At 46.4% G+C, this 25014-nt stretch overlaps 1 protein-coding gene across 3 annotated transcripts in view, besides 2 other annotated features; it reads right to left on the bottom strand.

Moving 5' to 3' along the window:
* XYLT1 (xylosyltransferase 1) overlaps nucleotides 1–25014 on the bottom strand; it is a 369192-nt gene that overhangs the window by 210825 nt on the left and 133353 nt on the right. The window lies entirely within an intron of this gene.
* Nucleotides 8049–8548: an enhancer, noted in NCBI's record as "H3K27ac hESC enhancer chr16:17414499-17414998 (GRCh37/hg19 assembly coordinates)". NCBI's record gives its function as "activates a minimal SCP1, AML or CMV promoter by ChIP-STARR-seq in primed H9 embryonic stem cells {active_cell/tissue: H9 hESC(primed)}" and the evidence as "EXISTENCE:reporter gene assay evidence [ECO:0000049][PMID:30033119]".
* Nucleotides 18111–18634: an enhancer, noted in NCBI's record as "H3K27ac-H3K4me1 hESC enhancer chr16:17424561-17425084 (GRCh37/hg19 assembly coordinates)". NCBI's record gives its function as "activates a minimal SCP1, AML or CMV promoter by ChIP-STARR-seq in naive H9 embryonic stem cells {active_cell/tissue: H9 hESC(naive)}" and the evidence as "EXISTENCE:reporter gene assay evidence [ECO:0000049][PMID:30033119]".

Consider the following 25014-nt stretch of genomic DNA (forward strand, 5'->3'; position numbering starts at 1 on the left):
CACATCAGTACAATACTGTTAACGGGACTGCAGATTTTGTTTTTGTTTTCACCCATTTTCAACATACTCATGTGTGTATCCGTGATTCTATTTACTGTTTAATCTTCACAGCAATCCTATTATCCCATTTTGCAGATGGGAAAACTGAAGCACAGACAGAATAAAGACAGAATAAAGTGACTTGTCCAAGGAGCTCGAATTCAGGGAATCTAGCTCTAAGCTACTATGCAGTGTTACTTCTCCGGCAAGTTCTGGTAACTAGTGCAAACTCGCTCATGGATCAGAGATGTTTCTGAGGGTACTCATATTTGAAAAGGACTTCTAGGTGTCAAATGTAGGTTCCAGACCCATCCCAAAGAACCGGATCCTCTTGGAAAAGCTCCCCCTGGCCGGGGCTGAGCAGGGAAGCTGGGAGAGAGGGCATGTCCGCCCAGGGCCATGGCCACAGATCCCCAGCCTTGTTGGCTCCTGGATAGTCTCTATCCCAGCTCAAAGGTGTGCCTGTCTGCCTCATCTGCTCTCAGGTTTCTGGTCTGGTGATGTTCTCGGGACTGGCCTGGGCTGCCTGCCAACACCAGAACTAGACAAAAATCTGCAGTTCTGAGCCTCAGCCCCTGCCCCTGGAGCCCTGGCAACTTCACAGAGGCCTGCTTGTGAGGCCAGGAAGCAGGAAGCTGGGCTGCTCAGCCCTCCGCCAACCTCCAGGCCCCTGGCTGCTGGGGCTGGAGGAGGGAGAGAGAAGGGGACAGACAGGACATCCAGTAAAGCTGTAACACCACCAAAAAAGGCCTCCCACACAAGCCAGCCTTGGCAGCCAGCGACCTACCAGACAAGGCCCCCCTTTCCTGCTGACTTTTATGGAGTGTTGGGCTCCTTGGAAGGGAATGTTCCCTGTGCTTAGAAATATGTGGAGATGATCTATGCATGTGGACAGGGACTGCTTAGACCCATGCACACAGCTTGGTTTCTAGCCAGATCCGTGGGACTGTGGGTGAATTCTTTCCTTCAACAGCATTGATGCTGCTATAATGCTGTCTGTGTAACTTAGGCAAGAAAAGGTTTCCTTTCATTAGAGGGGAAAACATCCAAACCATTAAAAAAAAAAAAAAGTTCATAGGAATCCATGATAGCATTGGGAGTGGTTCTGCCCAGACATGGAGCGACTGTGGTTAGGACCCAAGAAACAGCCTCATCTGTTAACCTCTCCAAGACTCAGTATCCTCAGCTGAAAAGTGTGGATTAGGCTGGAAGGATCCAGCCCAAACTATGAACCTACAGGGAGAATGGGAATAAGGGGATATAATTAAGGGGCTTTTATTTCTATTCTGTCCAGAGATTCAAAATGCAGTTGCCTCAGACAGGCCAGGCCTCAGCCATGTGTCAAGGTCATCAGTGATAAATCAATCCACCCTGGGAGGGTCAGGACACTGGAGAGGGTCTGTCCAGCCAAAAGAACATTAGAACTCAATTGTTTTAAGACACTCTGCAGGCCAAACCAAACTTGTCGACTCACTAGTTACTAGCTTTGAATTCTAAAGTCGACTCTTGTCCAGAAATCATTTCAGGAGCTCCAAAATCTCAAGATCAGGAGATCCTAGAGAAAGATTAGAAGCAACAGGCCCCTTGTGTGTGGCCCTTAAGTTAACACGTCACTGGCTCCCCAGCAGGGAACCTGGTGGGCCCTGACTTCAGGAGCCTCCCCAGGCCCACTCATCACCCACAAAACAGCACCCTTGGGGTGCTGCAGAGAGGGAGGAAAAGTGCTTAGTCAGCCCACCCCGCTGCACGTTGCCGAGTCAGTCATTTTTTTAGAGCCCTCTAGAAACCACTAGATTCCAGGTCCTAGAATATGCACTACAGGCTTCCCTTGGAGCATGAGAAGTACCTCTCTGACTCCCACCAATTGCTCCTCCATGAATGGCAGCCATCCATCCATCTGCTATCCAAGAGAACGCATACTGGGTGAAAATGTATGCACAATCAGCTGAGAGCAACATGCGAAACCAAATTATTATCTATCCCCTCCCATTCCAGGAAAGAAAGGCCTGTGATGAAAGACACAGAAACAAGAAAACCACTACACTAGTGAGAGAAAAATCAATAATCAAAGTGATAGAGGAGAAACTTGACAAACCAAAGCTAACAGAATAATTATGATTAACATTAGATGAGGCTCTGAGCTCCCTGGTGGCCAAAGCAAAAAGGGATGCTTTGTATTATATAACTCATATACAACTTGACAGCTAGAAGCTTAGCCAAAGAAAAAGAGAAAAGTTCAGTCCTGGTACGAGTTTGTCAGGCAGGTGTGTAGGTGGCGGAGGTGATAAAGTAGAGAGGTGAGAGGTACCCAGGTCAAATGCAGCCTGGTGGGCCAAGGTCAGGCCTTGGCTTATACTGAAAGAGGCATGAGGAGCCACGTGGCGGGTTATTCGCAGAGTCAAGACTTCATCTGACTCATGATTTAAAAGAGCAGCTCTGGGAGCTATGCTGGGGATGGCCCACCTGGGGAAAAGGCAGAAGGAGGGAGGAAGATTTAGAGACTACAGAAAAAAGCCAGGCAAGTCCTTAGGAGAAAATCCATTCTCCTTCCTAGGACTGACTTACAAAGCTCAGCATGTCCTGAACCTGCCTCTCCATTCAACCCAAACTCATTTCTCTTTCCCTCCCTCCAGCTACCCTGGTCTCCATCTATCTCCTGCCTTGTGGATGCTCTTTGTCACCTTGTGCATTTGCACATGTTCTTCCCCCTACTGGCATGTTCTTCTCCCCAGCCTCATCCTTTGCATCTCAGCTGAAATGTCAGTTTCCTGGAGAGCCATTTCCCAAACCCCTATCACAAGTAGAGAATTCTCGCTCCCCTAACTCTCAATTCTAGAATCTTCTGCTTCTATCTCAGCACTAGTCACAGCAGATCGTTATTGTAACACTGTACCTATGTGTTGGTTGTTGGTTTTGTCCCGTCTCTCTACCAGGATGTCTATTATTCTAGGAAGTCAAAGATAAGTCTATTCCCATTGCATTTCCTCCAGCCCCATAGCATAAGACTTGGCACAAAGTAGGTGCTTAATAAATTATGGCGAACAAATGGACCCCATGAGGCAGACACAGAATTAGCTTCAGGTTAGAAAACGGAAGCTCAGAGAGGCTCAGGCAACTTGCCCAAGGTCACCTGGTGGTAGATCTCAAGTCTGACTCCAAGGCTAGGCCCTTTGACCCTATACCCAGTTTCTCTGAACTCAAATTAGATGACCTTGCCCTGATCATGCCTCGGCAAGTCCCTGGTAGGAGGTCCTTACCACTGCATTAAACCAAGATCTTAGCGCTTTGACAAAGGGCCAACGAGAACATGAAGATGATCTGTAAAGTCCCTAGAAGACGCCAGGAGAAGCTTAGGAAATTGCAGCCGCACCTGGGTCAGATCCCAACAGAGTACAACAGCAAAGGGGCACTAGGAAATAGCCCCCACCTGGTTGGCCACACTGCCTCCACCTTTCACCACTCACAACACAAACTATTCTCCCCGAAGCGCACAGCTTTTATCTGATCAATTTTCTAGGCTGTGGAACCAAACAGTGGAATCCACAGGAAATTAAGCTTATTGACTCAGTCTTTGAACACCACATGGAGAAGAGATATTTACACATGTCATCGGAGCCCTGGGGACTGTAGGTTATTGGCAGCATGTATTTACAGAGTTTCGCCCAACAGTGGAGATGGGGAGAAAAACCACCATGCCTCCCCCTCCATGCAGATTTGGGGAATTCAGAGAGATGAAACAAGAGTTAGGACCCCCTGCTTTTTATTTATTTATTTATTTATTTTTGAGACAGTCTCTCTCTGTCGCCCCGGCTGGAGTGCTGTGGTGTGATCTCTGCTCACTGCAGCCTCTACCTCCTGGGCTCAAGTGATTCTCCCACCTCAGCCTCCCAAGTAGTTGGGACTACAGGCACGTGCCACCATGCCTGGATGATTTTGTTAACTTTTGTAGAGACAAGGTTTCACTATGTTGTCCAGGTTGGTCTTGAACTCCTGGCCTCAAGTGATCCTCCTGCCTCAGCCTCCCAAAGTGCTGGGATTACAGGCGTGAGCCACAGCACCCAGCCAGGATCCCTGCTCTTGAGGCTCTGTTTTACTTCTGCTTGGCTGGCTCAGACAGCAGGATTTGGTGGTAAAGCTAATTTTACACAGACCCTGTTACCTGAAAGAGCTCACTTTGAAACCACAGGCAGATTTTTTTTTTTTTTTTGAGACGGAGTCTCGCTCTGTCGCCCAGGCTGGAGTGCAGTGGCGCAATCTCGGCTCACTGCAGGCTCCGTCACCTGGGGTTCACGCCATTATCCTGCCTCAGCCTCCCGAGTAGCTGGGACTACAGGCGCCCGCCACCTCGCCCGGCTAATTTTTTGTATTTTTAGTAGAGACGGAGTTTCACCGTGTTAGCCAGGATGGTCTCGATCTCCTGACCTCGTGATCCGCCCGCCTCGGCCTCCCAAAGTGCTGGGATTACAGGCGTGAGCCACCGTGCCCGGCCCCCAGGCAGATTTTATGGAGCTCTCAATGTTGCAGCAATAAACTGTGATCTGTTTCCCCATCTAGGTGTTTGCCTCCTGCCATTTCTTCATGGTTCCTTGACTGTAACTTCTCTTTGGGTCATTTACAATTAGAGAGGTGAGGCAACCTTTGACATTCTTGACGGATGCCCTGGAAGACTGGTAAATGAATGCCCAAATTAAAATTAACCACAATAAATAATGGCATCAGATGAGGCACAGTGGCTCATGCCTGTCATCTCAGCACTTTGGGAGGCCTAGGCGGGAGGGTGGTTTGAGCCCAGGAGTTCAAGACCAGCCTGGGTAACAGAGTAGTAACTCATCACTACACAAAATACAAAACTTAGCTGGGTATGGTAGCATGTGTCTGTCCCAGGTACCTGGGAGGCTGAGGTGGGAGGATGGCTTGAGCCCAGGAGATCGAGTTTGCGGTGAGCCATAATTGCACCACTGCACTCCAGCCTGGGCCACGGTGGGAGACGCTGTCTCAAAAAAAAAAAAAAAAAAAAAAAAAAAAAGGCATCAGGAGCTAGTATTTATGGTATGCAGTATCTCTTTACCCTCACATGTTAAATCATGTTTCCTTTTGTAATCAGAATAAAATCCAAGCTCCTTATCATAGCCTATGATGTCCTACAGGATCTAGCTACTGCCCACCTCTGTAATGTCCCCTCTCTTCCTCTCACTCATCAATATGTTTCAGCCACCACGGCGAGCTCATTCCTGCCTCAGGGCATTTGCACACACTATTCCTCTGCCTGGAATGCTTTTCCCTGCATCCTTGAATATCTGTCTAGTTTATTCCCATTGCTCAATGCTGGGATCAGTTAATTACCTACCCCACACCAGTCATTACCCGTCTTGTCACCCTGTTTAACCATTATCACAGCACCTTTTCACTTGTTTGAAGCGTTCTTATGTATTTCCTTATGTGTTTATCATCTGTGTCTTCTTGCTAAGGTCGGTGAAGCTGAGACCTTGGATTTTCAGATTTCCAGATTCCCAGTATATCTAATGCCTGACGTGATACCAACACATAGCGGATGCTGAATAAATACTCAAGGAAGAAATGAAAGAGAGAATGGGAACTGGACCCTGGGTTTACTTGATCTCACTCCAAAGCCGGGGCTCTTAACCACTGAGCTACACAGCCTCATCACAGGACACTCTGCTGAATCAGCAGCTCCTGTTCAAACAGCTAGACTTCCAAAGTCAACACCAGCACATGGCTTTTCGGGGGAGGAGTACATTTCATCACAAGGCCAAGATTGTGTTTTGTTTTGTAAATCACTTCCTAAGTATTACCAAGGCTCCCACACCAATGAATCCTTCCTCCTTTCCTCCTGCAGGGTAGAAGGTCCTGGCTTGGTTCTCCAACCAGCTAAAGGCCTGTTTCCCGCATGCAAAGATGATGTTTGTGCTTTAGCAAAATGCAACGTCATGCAATCCTGGGGTCAGTTATGCAGATCCGAAGCACTACTGGAATTCAGAACCTGGTTCCATGAATTTGTTAACTGAGTCTACAGATGTATATAATGAACTTCCAGACACTCAAGACGATGCAGAGAAAAACCAGAAAACTATAGTGGGAAAAGCAAGGATTATGATGACAAGAACTCCATGTGGTTCCATCCTGGGATCTGCTTACTCTTTTTTTTTTTTTTTCTTCAGATGAGTCTAACTCTCGCCCAGGCTGAAGGGCAGTGGCACGATCTCAGCTCCCTGCAACCTCTGCTTCCTGGGTTCAAGCGATTCTCCTGCCTCATCCTCTCGAGTAGCTGGGATTACAGGCATGTGCCACCATGCCGGGGTAATTTTTGTATTTTTAGTAGAGACAGGGTTTCACCATGTTGGCCTGGCTGGTCTCAAACTCCTAACCTCAGGTGATCTGCCCGCCTACGCCTTCCAAAGTGCTGGGATTACAAGCATGAGCCACCATGCCTGGCCTCTCCTTATTCTCTTGCTGGGTGAACTTGAATGAGCTACCTCCACTTTTTAAGCCTCAGTTTTCAAGTACGTAAAATGGAGGCAATGACTGTGCATTTATTGGGAAGGGCTTACTTTCAAGGCCACAGAAAGAAATACATGAAAAAAAATCTATCAGAATGCCTGGAACTTATAATAAATGATCTTGAAACATTTGTTCAATGCCTACCATGTTCAAGGTGCAGCACAGTACCTTGCCTGAGAGATTCTAAGAGCATGACAGGAAGGGTCCTGTCTTTATTCTATTTCCCAAATTCCGCATCAGAACACATAGGCTGATCAAAGAATGGGTCAGAGAGTGTGAAACAGAGACCATTCAGGAATTTTTTTTTTTTTTGGAAACTAAATCTGTGTCACCCAGGCTGGAGTGCAGTGGCGCAATCGTGGCTCACTGCAACCTCTGCCTCCCGGATTCAAGCGATTCTCATGACTCAGCCTCCCAAATAGGTAGGATTACAGGCAAGCACCACCACGCCCAGCTAGTTTTTGTATTTTTAGTACAGTCAGTTTCACCATATTGGCCAGGCTGGTCTTGAACTCCTGGCCTCAAGTGATCCTCCCATGTCGGCCTCCCAAAGTGCTGGGATTACAGGCGTGAGCCCCCACACCCCGCCCAGGAACATCTCATATCAAGATACCAAGCCTGAATTTGAATTCCAGCTCTGACATTTGAGGCACCCCTCACCCCATTTCTGGGCCTTAGTTTCCCCACTGAATGGAAATAATGGCCTATGTCATCTGGCCCCTTCGTACCTCTCCACCTTCTCCCATCCCCTTTTCTCAGCTCCCCTCCCCACTGGAATTCCTGGAGTCTTCAACCATGCTAAGCGCCAGGCAGTTCGCATGCTCTTTTCTTTCTGCCCAGAACAGCCTTTCTTCTGGCTCTTCTGGGACTAGCTCCTCATTCAACCCTCAGTCTTCCCTGGCCATCCTACATAACATAGCCCACTCCATTTGATCTGACAGCAGCTCCTTCTTCACTTCTTTATTACCACTAATCAACATTTGTAGTGATATATGTATTGTTTGTTTCCTGTCTCTTTCTTCCCCAGACTACGGAGGTTGTAAACATTCAGAAAAAGGAACCGTGCCTGTTTTGATTAGCAGTGTATTTCCAAAAACCTAGCACAGTGCCTGAAGCACAGCAGGTGCTCAATAAAGGCTTGATGAGGGGATGGGTGAAAGTTTGGCATTCCCTCCAATCTATCGCATCAAGGCCTTCATCTAACCCACTATGAAGACCCTCAAACACACCATTCCCAATGCTTACATCCAAAACCTCTTTCTGCCCCACCTCCTGAGGAAATGGGGCATGAGTTGTGAGTTTCCTTAGCTGTGTGACCTTGGAAAAGTTTCTTTTTTTTTTTTTTTTGAGACTGAGTCTTGCTCTGTCACCAGGCTGCAGTGCAGTGGTGCGATATCGGCTCACTGCAACCTCCGCCTCCTGGGTTCAAGCGATTCTCCTGCCTCAGCCTCCCAAGTAGCTAGGACTACAGGCCCCCACCACCACACCCAGCTAATTTTTTTGTATTTTTAGTATAGACGCGGTTTCACCATGTTGGCCAGGATGGTCTTGAACTCCTGACCTCGTGATCTGCCCACCTTGCCCTCCCAAAGTGCTGGGATTACAGGTATGAGCCACCGCATCTGGCCGACCTTGGAAAAGTTTCTTAACCACTCTGTGCCTAGGTTTTCTTACCACGGAAATGAGGTTAATGATAATAGTTCCTGACTCATAGAATTGTTTTTGGCACTGCATGAGTTAACATACATAAAGGACTTCGGTAAAATATACGTAAGGCACTTAGCACTTTTTATGCCTTGTATGTGAATAAATGTCATCTAGGGTAGGTGGAGCCCTGTCCCTACCATTCCATGCAGGTTTCCCTGAGTACCTTTTTTTCACACAGGTAGGTTAGCTCCTCATCTACAAAGTGCTCCTCAACTCTGAGGCCCATTGGAATCACCTAGAGAGCTACGAATTACCCTGGAGTTGTATCCATACCCACAACATCAGACTCCAGTGGGGCAGGCTGTACATCTGCTTTTTACTCTCCCCGGGTGATTCCAACATGAATCTGAAATTGAAAACCACTATAAACGCCTCATGCTCAAAGGATCTCACAACTGCCCACTGCACACTGCCCTCCCCAACAAACTTTACTATTTTTACTGTAATAGCCCACATTGGACAGTTCCCAAAGTACTAACTAGCCTTTTTTTTTTTTTTTTTTTTTTTTTTTTTTTTTTTGAGGCAGTCTCACTTTGTCATCCAGGCTGGAGTGCAGTGGCATGACCTCAGTTCACTGCAGCCTTGACTTCTTTGGTTCAAGCAATTCTCCTGCCTCAGCCTCTCAAGTAGCTGGGATTACAGGAATGCACCACCACGCTCTGCTACTTTTTGTATTTTTAGTAGAGATGGGGTTTCACCATGTTGGGCAGGCTGGTCTCGAACTCCTGACCTCAAGTGATCTCCCCGTGTCAGACTCCCGAAGTGCTGGGATTACAGGCATGAGCCACCACACCCAGCTATCTGTTCTGTTCTCCTTAGAGCAGTGGTTCTCAATCGGGGGCAATTTTGCCCTGTAGGGGACATATGGCAATGTCCATAGACATTGTGGTTCCAGGGATGGGGTGCTATTGGAATCTACTCGGTAGAGACCAGAGATGCTTCTAAACATCCTACAGTACCTGGGAACCCCTGCACACAAAAAATGACTTATCCAGCCCCAAATGGTATGGTGGCAAGGTTGGCAAACCCTGCTGCGGAGCTATCTTTTCTGTGAACTTGGGGAGGACAGCGCAGCCTTGCTAACAATGGGAAGGAAAGAAGAAGTAGTGAAGGGAACTTATCATCACTGAGTTTCAACACCAAACACATACCAAGCAGATGTTTCACGAATAATGACAATAGCCACTACTTTCTGAGCACCAAACAATGGCTTACAACAGAACGGAACCCCTGAGTTATCTTACTTAACTCACATGGCAACTCTGAGTTCTTTGACTGTGTTTTCGCTTCATGCATAAGACAGCGGGGACAGCAAGGTTAGGTAACTAGGCCAAAGTCACAAGACTTGTACATGACAGATTTAGATTTTAGCCTATTCTGTTAAACTTCAAAGAGAAGGCTACCCCAACAGATTAATGATGCCAGCTCACACCTCCTAAGCCTCACAGTACCTACCAGGCAGTGCTCTGAAGACCCGACAAGTAGAAACTTAATTCATTCCCATGAACTAGATAATATAATCATCATCGTCATCATCATCATCTCCATTTTACATCCTGGGACGCTGAGACAGAGTGCTGCAGTGTCCTTTGAAGAATTTCATGCAGCTGAGATAGGGTTTTAACAAGGGGTTTAGATCCAGAATCTGGCTCACTCCCACCATACTCTCCTGCCTCTAATAGAGCAATGAGCAGAAAGGATCGAATTCCAGCCTGCCTCAGGACCTCTGCACATGCTGCTCCTGATGATGTATATGTCTTCACTCTGGCCTCTTTGCCCTGCTAACTCTTTTTTACTCATTGGATCTCAGTTTATACTTCCATTGTCTAGGACACCCTCCTAGCCCTGCCAACTCACTGACCAGATGAGTTATCTCCGTTAAACTCTCTCCTAGCTCCCCTTCATAGCATTTCACACTTTAAAAGAACCCAACACTTGTGCAAGTGTTTGGTGACCATCAGTCTCCTCCTATAGACTATAGACTCCATGCAGACAGGAACTGTCTCTGCCTTGTGCAGTGCTGTATCTCCAGGCCCCTGGCATGATGTTTGGCACAAAGGGGGTGCTTGATGAAAGCTTGTGGCTGAATGCATGAAACAGAGAACCTAAAGGCAAAACAGCAGCTGGTGCCAATCCGGTCCATTTCCTCATCCCCAGAGAGGGACAGGGCCATCTGGCAGGTCCTAGCCAAATACCTCCATGGCAGGTCAGGGCTGCAGAGCTCTCCAGGCAAGCTGGCCATGGAGGCCATAAACCAACTCCTCAAAGCCATCTCTGCTTCATGGTGGCTGGTCTTTATCATTTTCCAATCAACACTGGTTGAGTTCTAATTGATTTTCTATGATATCCCTCTCCAGAAGGGAGAAAGGCTCTGTTTACTGGGGCAGTACGTAGAGGACAGGCCTATTCTTCCTGCTGTATTTAATGCTGCTGCTAATCACGGAGATTAGACTAAAACAATTACAACAGCTAATTAAAGAACAATGCGGTTTTTGGCATCTTCGCGCAGACGGCACCATTGGGAATTCCTAACTCGGGCAAAGCAGGGATAATTAAAACCCCGGCTCCACTCTCCCCACTCCAGCAGCTGGATCACGCTGATTAAACTGCAAATAAAACACATGAAACCAACACTTTGTAGTCTATCCAATTTCACTTAAAAGGGCTTTTAACTGATTCATAAACAGAGAAGCGGTAAACAGCAAATTATTTAACTAAAGCCAGTTATTTCGTCATCACGGTTCACTTTATTCCCAGCTCCGGACTTGTACATGTAGCCCAGGGGACATTAGGTTGATGGGGCCTGAGGAATCACTCCAGAGCTTACTGCCACTTGCTCCTGTTCACTGGCAACAGGACATCACCAGTGTGTAGCTGCTTTCTCTGGGTTTTTTCTCCTTTTGAAAAAAAAAGATCAGGTAGTGCCCAAGTCCCCAGATGAATATGCCCAGGTCTGATCAGACTCTGCTCTCGATTCTAGGTCAAGAGCAGATGGCAGAGACACAGAAAGTTCCGAAGCGCAGATAATACTAAAAGCATCATATGTAGCTTTAAAACATTTAACTTATTCAGAGCTGGCCAACTTCAGATCTAAAATGCAACCCGTATCTACTAAAGTATGAAACAGACTTGTTCTCAAGCTATGGGAAGACATGTCACAACAGCTGGGTAGAAAGCTCATTTGTTTTAGACAGGCACACTCTGAGACCCCAGCTCAGGTCCCATGCACACATGCTTCCCAACTCATCTTAACAAGCATGGTCATGGGGATTGCTAATTCTCTCTCCACCTTGCCAATCCAGAGACAACAAGGGAAAAAAGTGAGAAATAAAAAGAAAAAGGTCAAGGGAAAAAGAAAAGGACAGAAGAGAAAAGGGAGAAAATGGTAACGCTAGAGACAGGCTCACTGGGAGCAGCAAGAAGGGACAGAAAAAGAAAAAAATACCACAAGAAAGCAGACACAGGGATTTTCAGAGCCCAGCATGACACATGCGGTGAGGACCTAGGAGCCAGCGCCTGTCCCTTTGCAGTGGCCAGGTATGATGGTCACGTTCCACAGCAGTGCTTCTCAAACCAGCTGTGGAGAAAGGCCTTTGTATGCCCAGTCTACTGCAGGGTGCTAATTTTGTAAAATAAAACAAAAAAAGAAGCATTAAAAATAAAAGATTGACTTGCTTAGGTGCCATGCCATGTCCGGTTACTATAAAAGCTGCTGAAAGCTTGTCCTTCGTTTCTGAGCGCGTCTTCGTGCACACAGTGAGAAACCCTGGGGATGGCACTGGTCCATGGACCGACAACGCTCTGAGTAGTCCTTTTTGAAAAGATCCCCCACGGTCATTGGGAATAAACATAATCAGATTCATAGGATTCTATTTAATGTGCACCACATGTTTTTAGTGAACAAATGCAGGCTTTCAGACACACATAAATGTAGAAAACAAAGACCGGAAAGACATGCATCAAAGATTTTATTTCGGAATAATGATTTCACCGATCTTTCTTCTCTTTTTTTCAAGCTTTGTTATAAAATACTCATGAAAGTTATTTTTAAATGAATATTCCATTTATGAAGGCAAAGAAAGACGATGCTTTATCATAACACGAGTTATAGCTATTTATATATAATTATGGATGTTATTTATTTATAAGTATCTATTATGTGGTTCAAAAAACGCTATGTAACTGCATGTAGCCTCATGGAAAAAAAAATATGCAGCCAATATATATGATGTTTGAAAAGAATACTCTGGGCGGGGGTGCCGGGCACGGTGGCTCATGCCTGTAATCCCAGCACTTTGGGAGGCTGAGGTGGGCAGATTGCCTGAGGTCAGGAGTTCGAGACCAGTCTGGCCAACATGGTGAAACCCTGTCTCTACTAAAAATACAAAAAAATTAGCTGGGCATAGGTGGCGTGCGCCTGTAATCCCAGCTACTTGGGAGGCTAAGACAGGGGAATTGCTTGAACCAGGGTGGTGGAGGTTGCAGTGAGCCAAGATGGTGCCACTGCACTCTAGCCTGGGCGACAGAGCGAGACTCTGTCTCAAAACAAAAAGAATACTCTGATTTTAGAAGATGCTTTTGCAATTTGATCATCAAATTGCCAATATTGACCCTTTTCTGACCAATGAAAACAGCAATTTCATATAATTTAATCTAATATTAAATGGGATCTAAAAGGTTCCCATAAATAGAGGTTGAAATCAATTATGTAGAAAATACACATACACGGAAAAGAAGACTGGAAAAAAACATACAAAAAGCTGGCATGGCGATTTTATTTTTTCCTTCTTGGTCATTTTCCAAATTTCCAACCGTGGGAATATATTGCCTTATGAGTGGGGGAAAAAATTCCATTCAAACATTTAATTCAGAGAAATTGCTAGCATTTTTGAGAGTCTTACCCTAATCTGGCTACTTACTCTGTGTCTATGTGTACTGGGAGAAAGAGGATAATGAGAAATTTAAATTCATAAGTATTAACTGTTAGATGATTATTAAATTAGCTCATCATTTCTAAGCATGAACTGGGCAGGAAGCATCATGTCTATGCAGGGGAAAGCCCCTATGTTCAGGAGGGACCTGAGATCCGTGTTCCGCTTGTCTGAATCTGCCATCCATTATCCTGATTGTTTTCAAACAGCTTTACTGAGGTATAACTGACATACAAAAAAAAGTGCATGTACTTAATGTATGCATTTTGAAGAGTCTGGATACATGCACAGACTCGTGACACCATCACCACAATCAAGGTAACAGACATATCCGTCACCTCTAAAAGTCTCGTGTCCCCCTTTTTTGGTGGCAAGAACATTAACATGAGATCTACTCTCAATACATTTTTAAGTATACAATGCAGTATTGTTAACTACAGGTGCTATGCTGTCCAGCAGATCTCCACAACTTACTCGTCTTGCAGAACTGAAACTTTATACCAATTGGAAAATGCCTCCCCATTTTCCTCTCCCCCATCCCGTGGTAACCATTCTTTTATCCATCCTCCTGTGATCTTGGGCAAGTAACTCCCTCTTTTTGGCTTCAGTTCTCCTACCTTTAAAATAAAGAATTTTGAAAGGTTGACCTCTAAGCTCCTTTTGCCTTTGGTATTCCATGCTCTTAGTCCATGATGGCTGGAATAGACCCCCTAAGTCATGAGACCCAAGGCAAAATAAAAACACAGGACCTCGGCCTGGCACGGTGGCTCACGCCTGTAATCCCAGCACTTTCGGAGGCCGAGGCGGGCGGATCACAAGGTCAGGAGATCGAGACCATCCTGGCTGAAACGGTGAAACCCCTTATCTATTAAAAAATACAAAAAAATTAGCCGGGCGTGGTGGCAGGCACCTGTAGTCCCAGCTACTTGGGAGACTGAGGCAGGAGAATGGCGTGAACCGGGGAGGCGGAGCTTGCAGTGAGCCGAGATCGCGCCACTGCACTCCAGCCTGGGTGACAGAGTGAGACTCCATCTCAAAAACAAAAAAAAACAAAAAAAACAAAAACACAACAAAAAAAACACACAGGACCTCTTATGCAAAATTAATTAAGAATCTTAGGATGCTGACAACAGAAATTCAAACAAGTGCAGAGCCATGGAGCTGTGTGTGACTGCACAGGCCGCATGTCCATGAAGCCGACCCTGCTGATGGCAGAAGGCCAAGGACAAACACCACCAACCAAAATAAAAAATTCTCAGTTATACAATAGACAAGTTCTGAGGAGCTAATGGACAGCACGGGTGGGGAATGATGTGTTCATTCATTTGTGTAATGTCATCATCACACAATGTATGTGTATATCAAATCATCACACCTTGAACACATTGAATACATTCAACCTTTATATTCCAACTAAACGTTTTAAATTATTTTTTAAAAAGTGTTTGAGAGGCCAAGCATGTATATTTAAGAATTATTCACAAAGTAGATAAAACACCTGTCAACAAAAACAGCCATACTCGGGTTGAATGATTAAAAACGAGCAACAACTTCCTTTTCTTTTCTTTTTTCTTTTTTTTTTTTTTTTTTTGAGATAGAGTCTCGCTCTGTTTCCCAGGCTGGAGTGCAGTGGCGCCATCTTGGCTCACTGCAAGCTCCGCCCCCCGGGTTCACGCCATTCTCTTGCCTCAGCCTCTGGAGTAGCTGGGACTACAGGCACCCACCACCATGCCCGGCTAATTTTTTGTATTTTTAGTAGAGACGGAGTTTCACCGTGTTAGCCAGGATGGTCTCAATCTCCTGACCTCGTGATCCCGCCCCCCCCCCCCCCCCCCCCCCGCCTCGGCCTCCCAAAGTGCTGGGATTACAGGTGTGAGCCACCACGCCTGGCCAACAACTGCCTTTTCATAATTGATCACAATCAGCTTCTATTTTATAACTACGTCTTGGAATAGGCCATTATGCTTGGATTTCACAGGCAAGTCTGCATTTTCCTCGTCTTAAATTCCATCGCGGTGAGCCAAACTCAGTCAACCTTTTCTGTGCTAACATCTGTGATCAAGATTAAAGTAACTAACAGCCAGCTCTGGCTCTTGAAGCATAACTGGAGGATAAGATCAGGTATTTGCAAAGTGTGAGGCTCCAGCCACACTCCTCTGCTTCAAGGACTTGATGTTGCCTTGACTATCGTTACTCTGAACACTGGGAGGAGAGGACCATCATGGAGGGAGAAATTGAGTCCACCTCCCTCCTTTGAATTAATTGCAGGAGTAAACAACCACAGACCACGTAACCTCCCTTTCACAGAGCTCGGCTGTACAGAACAGCCTAGAATAGTAGGGAGAGACAGGTGCCCCGGGTTTACCACCAGAGCCTATTTTTCTCTGTATTCATTTCTAATGAATGAGATTATTTCTAGGGTTGAGAAGCAGGGCCAGCTGATTGTCACAATCAGGCATATTAAAAGCCATGATAGGCCGGGTGCAGTGGCTCAAACCTGTAATGCCAGCACTTTGGGAGGCTGATGTGGGCAGATCACCTGAGGTCAGCAGTTTGAGACCAGCCTAAGCAACATGGCAAAACCCCGTCTCTACTAAAAATACAAAAAAATTAGCCAGGCATGGTGGCGCACATCTGCAATCCCAGATACTCGGGAGGCTGAGGCAGAAGAATCGCTTGAGCCCAGGAGGTGGAGGTTGCAGTGAGCTGAGATTGTGCCACTGCACTCCAGCTTGGGTGACTGAGCAAGACTCCTTCTCAAAAAAAAAAAAAAAAAAAAAAAAAAAAGAAGGTGTGATAAATAACACTAGGCAAGAAATGCAAGAGCAGAAAAAAAATTATCAAAAAAGAGGCAGATTTTTATTTTTTAAAGGGACTCCAGGGTCACTGAGTGAAGAGCTACAGCATTTTTGATGCCCGTGCGCAACCATCAGTGCTTTTAGCAGAATCTAAAACCTAGTGCTTGAAATGATGGCTGGATTCTTCAAGGAAGGCTTCACACACATTCAGCGTACTCTATTTGAGAAGGCAGGAAAATAAATGGGTGATAGAGTTTAGAAAAATTCCTTAAAAGTAAAGCTTAACTCTCCAGAAATGAGGCTCCCAAAGCCTCCAAAACGCTCCAGATGGCTGAAGTTTTGCTGGAGGTATGCGTGTGTGCATGTTCACATTTTGTAGCATTTCTATGTACTGCTTTTAAAAATCCATCCTTATCACAGGCCTTCTTAGAACAGTGGTTTGCAAACTTTTTCAGTAAAGGGTCAGACAGTTAAGATTTTCAGTTTAGCAGGCCACGTGATCTCTCTCACAACGGCTCAGCTCTGCCGCTGTAGCTCAAAACAGACATAGACGAGTACGTAACAAATGGGCGAGGCTGTGTTCCAATAAAACTCCACTTACAAAAACAGATGGCTGGCAGCATTTAGCCCATGAGCCGTAGTTTATCAAGCCCTGCTCTGCCACAAGGAACATGGGCTCTGGACAGGGCAGGATCTGGATTCAAATTATTTCAATCCACCACTCTGTAACCGTGAGACTCAGTTTCCCTCTTTTACCATGGGGGGATATAATACATTGCTGCGTAACTGTAAACATCAATTGGAAAACATAGTAGATATTTGATACATGTTAACGTCCTTATGCCAATAGTAAATCTTTTCATCTTGCTGGTTTTCTTAGTTCTTTATCTATACGGGTCTTCATCCACATGGTTCTTTTCAGTCAAAAATGGCCTTTCTCCAACATTATCTCATTGCCCCACCCTTTTCCCCTCTCATATTCCACAAGGCTGGTAGACAGACATCACTAACTGCTCTACTGATAAGGAAATAAACACTCATGGAAGTAGTACTCCAGCCAGGGTAGGGAATTACGTGCTCCAAACCAGCAACCTGTGCCTCCGGGTCTGTTACTTGCACAAACATGGACACCCGTGAGTTTGTAGACATGCCCACTTGGAAATCTACACATGGACACAGAAGAGGCAGTTAACCATCACAGGGAGGGGCACCAGGCTTGGATCCCACCTTGGTGACATACAGATTGTGTATCCCCAGGCAAGGTACCTGACCACACAGTCTGGGTTTCCTCATTTATGAAATGAGGCTAAAAATAGCATAGGTTCCAGAAGTTTCTACCTCAAAATGTTGAGCGTCTAACACCTAGCCCATAGTACATGTTCCATCAATAGCTGTTGAATGAACCAATGTGATGGTGAGGGTTAAATGAGAACAGTATTCATAGCCCCAGGATGCTCAATAAATGGTCACAGCTCTGCTTAGTGACAAATCTATATGCACCACATATGGAGGTAGATACACACACACACACACACACACACACACACACAGCTGTCAGCTCCACATGGGCAGGAGCCATATCTGACACAAAGCACTTGCTCATTACAAAACTGTGTGTTCATTTATGAATATACAACACACTCGTGCGTATAAACAAATAAGTGCAAACAGCTGATAAACTGGGTTGGGCTCCCCAAGGTCCTTGCAATTCTCTCTCTACATCCACTCAACCCCCAGAAGGAGCAGAACAGGTTGATCCAGACCTCAGATGATGAAATTCTGCTGGCTGTTTACTGGATTCCAGACCACCACCACCCATACATATCAAAGACCCGCATCGTTTCACTCCCTGGGCTGTGACTCCAGGGTCCCATAAGGTGACCCAGGCTAGAGGTGCCATAGAAAATGTCCCTGCTGGGCCAGGCATGGTGGCTCACACCTGTAATCCTAGCACTTTGGGAGGCCGAGGCAGGCAGATCTCCTAAGGTCAGGAGTTCGAGACCAGCCTGGCCAACAGGGCAAAACCCCGTCTCTACTAAAAATAAAAAAAAAAAAAATTAGCTGGATATGGTGATACATGCCTGTAATTCCAGCTACTCGGGAGGCTGAGGCAGGAGAATCGCTTGAACCCGGGAGGCGGAGGTAGTAATGAGCCAAGATCGCGCCATTGCACTCCAGCATGGGGGACAAAGCAAGACTCCCTCTCGGAAAAAAAAAAAAGAAAAGAAAAGAAAATGTCCCTACTTAAGATGTAGAGGAGCAAGGGGCAGTGATATCCTCAATGCGCATATCAGGTGGCGTTTGAGCACCTGAGGAGTTTCAGGGACTGCTGCCCTTGAATTGCTGAGATGAGGTTCTACCTTTGAACAAAGATGGTCCGTGCATTTGGAAGGAAAGAGCTGACAGATGTTCCACCGCCCTGCACAAAGGGAGGGCTTATGCTCAACCAGGTCCTGGCCATTCCCATGGGCAGAGCAGGCAGCCACTGGGCACTGCCAGCTTTTCCCAATATCTCCTCCGAGTCCCCACAGCCCCTTGGCTCTGTGCACAGGCGAGGCCGCCTCTAAAGCCAAGAAGGCAATGACCCAACTCTGGAGGAGGGGGAGATGACTCAAGCTACAGCACACAAGGCCTTCTCAGGGCCGCCTTGACCATGCCGGCCTCAATCCCAGGCAGTTGCCTTCACCACACCAAGGTAGAGTACTCGGCACTTGGACAGTGGCGTCAGAACAAGGGTGGAGGCCATGTCCTCTCGGCATGACATCAACTAACAGCCTGGCTCCTTGGCCCTGAAAGAGAATGAGCCAATGTCTGCCTCTGGCCATGCAAAACCAATCCTCATTTAGTCTGTGGAAACAGTACATGGAAGGCCAGATGTAGCCTTTGGCTTGAAGAACTGAGTTTGCTCAACAGACACACGTTTTCCATTCAACACTCTTTCTGATTTGGTTGCGGTTGTACTGCTGTTGTTTAAAGGAGGGAGGGATTAAACCACCCTTTTTGAGAGGATAAATGTGTGGTGGGTCTGTATATGTTGATGACAGACAGATACACACACACATATGGTAGATGTTAACGAGCCCATTTTATTGATGGGCACACTGAGGATTGACCAGGTGAATGACTTATCTCAGATTGAGTCCACAGCCAGGACTCAAACCAAGATATAATTCCACTGTCCACTTTTCCCCACCACACTGTGGTATAAGGCCTAAAATTAATATTATGTGCTGCCTTGACACCTGGGGAAAGCCAAGAGCATCTCATATGGCTTGAATGTAAGTTTCCCTAACTACTTTGCTTCCTCAAATAAGGTCCTCTAGCCAGACAGCCTCCTTTGTCTCAGCAAGACCAGGTACAGTGCCTGCCTATCCCTGGAGAGTGGGTTTCTGTTCCCTGCCAGCCTCTGGGATTATTTAAACAAGACAATCATATCCCCTTGTGGGACACAGGGATTATTGCATCTTCTTGCTTCTGCATAGCCTGCCTCCCATGGCCCCTGGATGTTCACCCTGTCCCCAGATACAACCGTGTGGCCCTGCATGGTGCACAGCACCTGCTTCCCTGGGGCTGACTGTACGTGACACATAAACTGCTGTCCATCTGGTCTGTCCAGCTTTGGGTGTTATCCCCATAGGGTGGGAATCTACTTCAACCATGGGGTGAAGTGGAGGCGATCAAAACACACACCAGGCTGGGTGTAGTGGCTCATGCCTATAATCCCAGCACTTTGGAAGGCTGAAGCGGGCAGATCACTTGAGGTCAGGAGTTTGAGACCAGCCTGGCCAGCATGGGGAAACCCTGACTCTACTAAAAATACAAAAATTAGCCGGGCGTGGTGGTGTGCTCCTGTAATCCCAGCTACTCGGGAGGCTGAGGCAGAAGAATCACTTGGACCCGGGAAGCGGAGGTTGCAGTGAGCCAAGATCGTGCCACTGCGCTCCAGCCTGGGTGACAGAGCCAGAGTCCATCACACACATACACACACACACACACACACACACACACACACACACACACACACGGCTTCCTGAGCAAAGTGGGACTATTACAATTTCCACAGAATGATATTCCAAAGTCCCTCTCTAGAGGTCAGCTTGCAACACACCTCCCCACAGGTGGACACTGGTCAGTTTTGGAAGAGACAGGAGCCAAGGACTCTGGCCTTCAGATAACTAAACCTCAAGTTCATTCCTAGACTGGCCATTTATAGTCATCCAGTAGATACTCCATCATTCCATTGTCACTCTTCCACCTGTCTGTCCGCAGGAGCTCCGAATTCTGCAACCTCCGCCTTTCCGTGTGTAGCTCAAGCAGAATCCAGAGAGGGCATGAGCAGTGGGTAACAAGGGCAGAGTGTTTGCAAACCCAGGAAGAGGTGACGGCACAGGCAATTAGAGGCAGAACCCTGATTAACTGAGCCCAACTAACCAGAACCATCAATTAACTCAAATCTTTTTTTTTTCTTCCCTCTCAGGAGACTGAGGCCAGGAATTGAGAAAATCACAATTTAAAATGGAAAAAAAACTGTGTTCCGGGCTTTTCTCTGGCTCAACTCTGACCCAGGTCCATTTCCTTCATCCTCATTCAAGACACATGTACAACTTCAAATTTTCTAGTAGCTGTGTTTTTTAAAAAAGTAAAAAGAAATTGATTAATCTATTTGATTTAACCAAATACATCCTAAATATTGTCATTTCATCATGTGATCCATATGGAAAAAGTATCAAATCTAAACAAATATGAAAAAGCATTAAGGAGATGTTTTATATTCTTTTGTTTGAGCTAAGTTTTTCCTAGAGCACAGCTCAGTTGGAACTGGCTGCATTTCAAGTGCTCAGTAACCCTGTGTGGCTGGTGGCTACCATATGGGACAGCACAGATCTGGAGCTAAAGTGTGAAGTGATTGTTTAGAATGATGATTCTGGAGGGTTGCTAGGGTTTCAACGTCCATGTCACCTCCAAAATTCATGTTGAAATTAATTAATTAATTAATTTAATTTATTTTTTTTTTTTTTGAGATGAAGTCTCACTCTGCCGCCCAGGCTGGAGTGCAGTGGAGCCATCTGGGCTCACTGCAACCTCTGCCTCCCGAGTTCAAGCAATTCTCCTGCCCCGGCCTCCCAAGTAACTGGGATTACAGGCATGTACCACCATGCCTGGCCCATTTTTGTATTTTTAGTAGAGATGGGGTTTCACCATGTTGGCCAGACTGGTCTCGAACTCCTGACTTCAAGTGATCTGCCCACCTCGGCCTCCCAAAGTGCTGGGATTAAAACTGTGAGCCACACGCCCGGCCTCATGTTGAAATTTAATCCCCAAGGGAAGAGTATTAAGTGGTGGGTCCTTTAGGAGGTGATCAGGCCAGAAGAGTTCCGCTATCATGCATGGGGTTAGTCCCTTACAAAAGGTATGGAGAGAACTAAGTAAACCCCTTTTGCCCTTCCATCCCTTTCACCATGTGAGGTCACAGAGTTCATCCCCTACAAATAATACAGTGACAAGGCACCATCTCGGAAGCAGAGAGCAACCCTCACCAGACCCCAAACCTGCTGGCACCTTGATCTTGGACTTCCCAGCTTTCAGAACTGTGAGCAATACATTTCTGTTGCCTGTAACTTACTCAGCAGCATAAACAACTTAGGCCGGGGCTTTAAAACAAATTGGTCACTAGTGAGTAACTGCGTGCTAAGTGTTTCCTCCCAACAGTGCCTCATGATTGACAAACTGGTCTTGGGCTTACACGGGTCTATGACGTCCTGGAGTACAGACTGCCAAGTCCCTTCTCTACAGCCAGGGCCTTTCTTCACAGGAAAGTGACTGCAGTAAGAGCCACCTGCCATGACCTCCACCCCATTAATTACCTCTTTGTCTGATTTGCAATATGCAAGCCTTCTCCATACCTTCCACCTAAATGATGAATTCACACTTCAGACCAAAAAAAAAAAGGAAATTATTTGAAAAGGCCATTTTTCTACTAACCACCCAGGAATGTGTAGGTGTAGCATTTAATAGTGCCTACAAAGTCCCTCCCCGAGGGGACCTTGCAGTCTAGCAAGGACAGTGAGAAGTACACATTTAAAAAAAGATCTACTATTATCCTGGCTAACATGGTGAAATCCCGTCTCTACTAAAAATACAAAAAATTAGCCAGGCGTGGTGGCAGGTGCCTGTAGTCCCAGCTACTCGGGAGGCTGAGGCAGGAGAATGGCGTGAACCTAGGAGGCGGAGCTTGCAGTGAGCTGAGATCGCACCACTGCATTCCAGCCTGGGCGACAGAGCGAGACTCCATCTCAAAAAACAAAAACAAAAAAAAGATCAACTATTTATGGGTCCAATAAAAACTAGCTACTGGGCCAGGCGTGGTGGTTCACACCTATAATCCCAGCACTCTAGGAGGCTGAGGTGGGTGGATTGCTTGAAGCCAGGAGTTCGAAATGAGCCTGGCCAACATGGCATAACCCCATGTCTACTCAAAAATACAAAAATCAGCCGGGCATGGTGGCGGGTGCCTCTAATCCCAGCTACTCAGGAGGCTGAGGCACAAGACTCAACTGAACGCGGGGACGTTGCAGTGAGCTGAGATTGCGCCACTGCACCCAGCCTGGGCGACAGAGTGAGACTCTGTCTCAAAAAAACAAAAAAACAATAACAAACAAAAAAAAAACTACCTACTGGCCACCTGGAACAAGGGTTAACCAACATATGAGGCAGCCCCTTTTATTGGTGAGAAAACCGAGATCAGAAAAATGAATGAATTACTATCCACATGCTCCCACAGGAACTGCAGAAGAGCGCAGCCCAGAACACAGGAAGCCTTCCCATTTTAAAATCATTCATCGAGTGTAATCCCAGCACTTCGGGAGGCCAAGGCAGGCAGATCACCTGAGGTCAGGAGTTCAGGACCACCCTGACCAACATGGAGAAACCATATCTCTACTAAAAATACAAAATTAGCGGGGCATGGTGGCGGGCGCCTGTAATCAATCACAGCTACTCAGGAGGGTGAGGCAGGAGAATCGCTTTAACCCGGAAGGCAGAAGTTGCAGTGAGCCGAGATAGCGTCATTGCACTCTAGCCTGGGCAACGAGAGCAAAACTCCATCTCAAAAAAAAAAAAAAAAATCATTCATTGAGTAACTTTTCCATTTTTTGCCCTATCCATGTAATGTCTGTTGTTTTATTTATTTTTCAGGGCTCTTTAAATCAGCTCATCTATATTTTTACTTCAATGGCTTAATTTAAAAGGGAAACATTACTCCTAAATTAGTGGAAAAACTAGTATAATTTGCTATAAATGGAAGGTAACTAGAAAAATAAACAGAGAGCTATTAATTTCTATAAAGTCTGTGGAGTTATAGCTTAAAATCATCTTGTGAGTCACCAGTTTGCATGTGACACTTTGGAAAAGGCTGCAACAGAGAAGTTGAGACCTACGCTTTGCCTGGCTGGCTGGCAAGACTTTGTAAAGGAAGAAGAGGAAAGGTGTCCCAGGTGTGTGCACAGCATGGAGAAACGTGCGGAGGTGGATGGAGGGCAGAGCGTGGAAGGCAGAGAGGAAACTGATACCTACCTGATTAAATCACCGAAGCACATTCAGTTCCGTGCCATGGATTTAACATGGACTAACACACTTTGGAAATACTTTCAAAGCAAGGTCTGCAACAATAGTGTTTTTGTAACTCCTAGTTAACAAGAAAAACAACAGATCCAAGCCCCCACGGCGGTTCCCCAGTGTTTCCCAATACTGTCATCTGATTCTGTTTTCTGTCAGGGAAATAAAATATCCCATTTCCTCCATGATGGTGAGTTCTGAATGCAGCTGTCCACGGTCAGGGGAGATGGAGAGGAAAGAAGCCAAAAAGCAGCAGGCAGGCAAAGGCCAGTGAGAAGATGTTGACTCTGGGGCCCCGTCCTTCACTACTGTGTGGTTGCGGGTGTGGGTATGGATGTGGATATGGATGCGTGTACAGATGCAGGTGTGGGTGTGCATGCATGTGTGTGAGAGAGAAAACCTCCTCCTCCTAGGCTCACCCCAGGCCATCAAAGAGACACACATACCTTGCAGAAAGTCAACTTCTACACTGGTTGGGGCAAGTCCAGCCCGTCCGAATCCCACAGGGAAGGGCCACCATGGCTTCTACCCCAGCCGAGCTGACATCCCCAAACACAGGGACTTTCGTATGTGTGTCCGACTGGCCTTGCTCCCTGCCAGTGGCTGCCTCTTCAGGGGCCAGAAACCCTGATCGTGTCAAGCAGTCCTAGAAAAAATGCTCACCCGCTTTCTCAGATGAAGTGCAGTAGGGCTCCCTGGCCTGCACAAGCCAGTGACCATTTTTTTAAAAGCCCTTGGAAAAGAAAGGCATATATTCTGCAACACAATATTTGGTGGACACTATCATAGCATTTTGTAAGATCGTATGTAACCCCAACTGTGGCTCTGAACAAAAAAATATTATTCAGCCCCAGAAAGGCATATAAATCCCTACAAAGTACAGGGTGGGTTTTTTGGGTTTTTTTAAGTGGTTAAATTCTCACAATTTTTTGCCTTTGTTCAGTGCAGGGAGACAGTGGTCTGCAAAGGTGGTAACACTGACTTCCTGAGAATCTTTTTTCTTTGAGACAGGGTCTTACTCTGTCACCCAGGCTAAAGTGCAGTGGTGCAGTCATGGCTCATTGTAGCCTCCACCTCCTGGGTTCAAGCCAGCCTCCCACTTCAGCCTCCCAGGTAGCTGGAACTATAAGCACATGCCACCACACCCAGCTAATTTTTTATAGAGATGAGAGGGGGTCTCACTGCATTGCCCAGGCTGGTCTCAAACTCTAGGGCTCAAGCGATTGGCCAGCCTCAGCCTCCCAAAGTGCTAGGATTACAGGCGTGAGCCACCATGCCCGGCCTCCTGAGAACCTTTAATTGAACTTGCAGCATTGCAATTCAGCCCAAGCTCCTTGGGTGCAGGACTTCACGTTGCTAAATCCAGGGAAGCCTACCTTGGTTACCTGGGAAAATGGTGTGGGAGG

This window comes from Homo sapiens, chromosome 16 (assembly GCF_000001405.40).
Source record: "Homo sapiens chromosome 16, GRCh38.p14 Primary Assembly".
Taxonomy (NCBI): domain Eukaryota; kingdom Metazoa; phylum Chordata; class Mammalia; order Primates; family Hominidae; genus Homo; species Homo sapiens.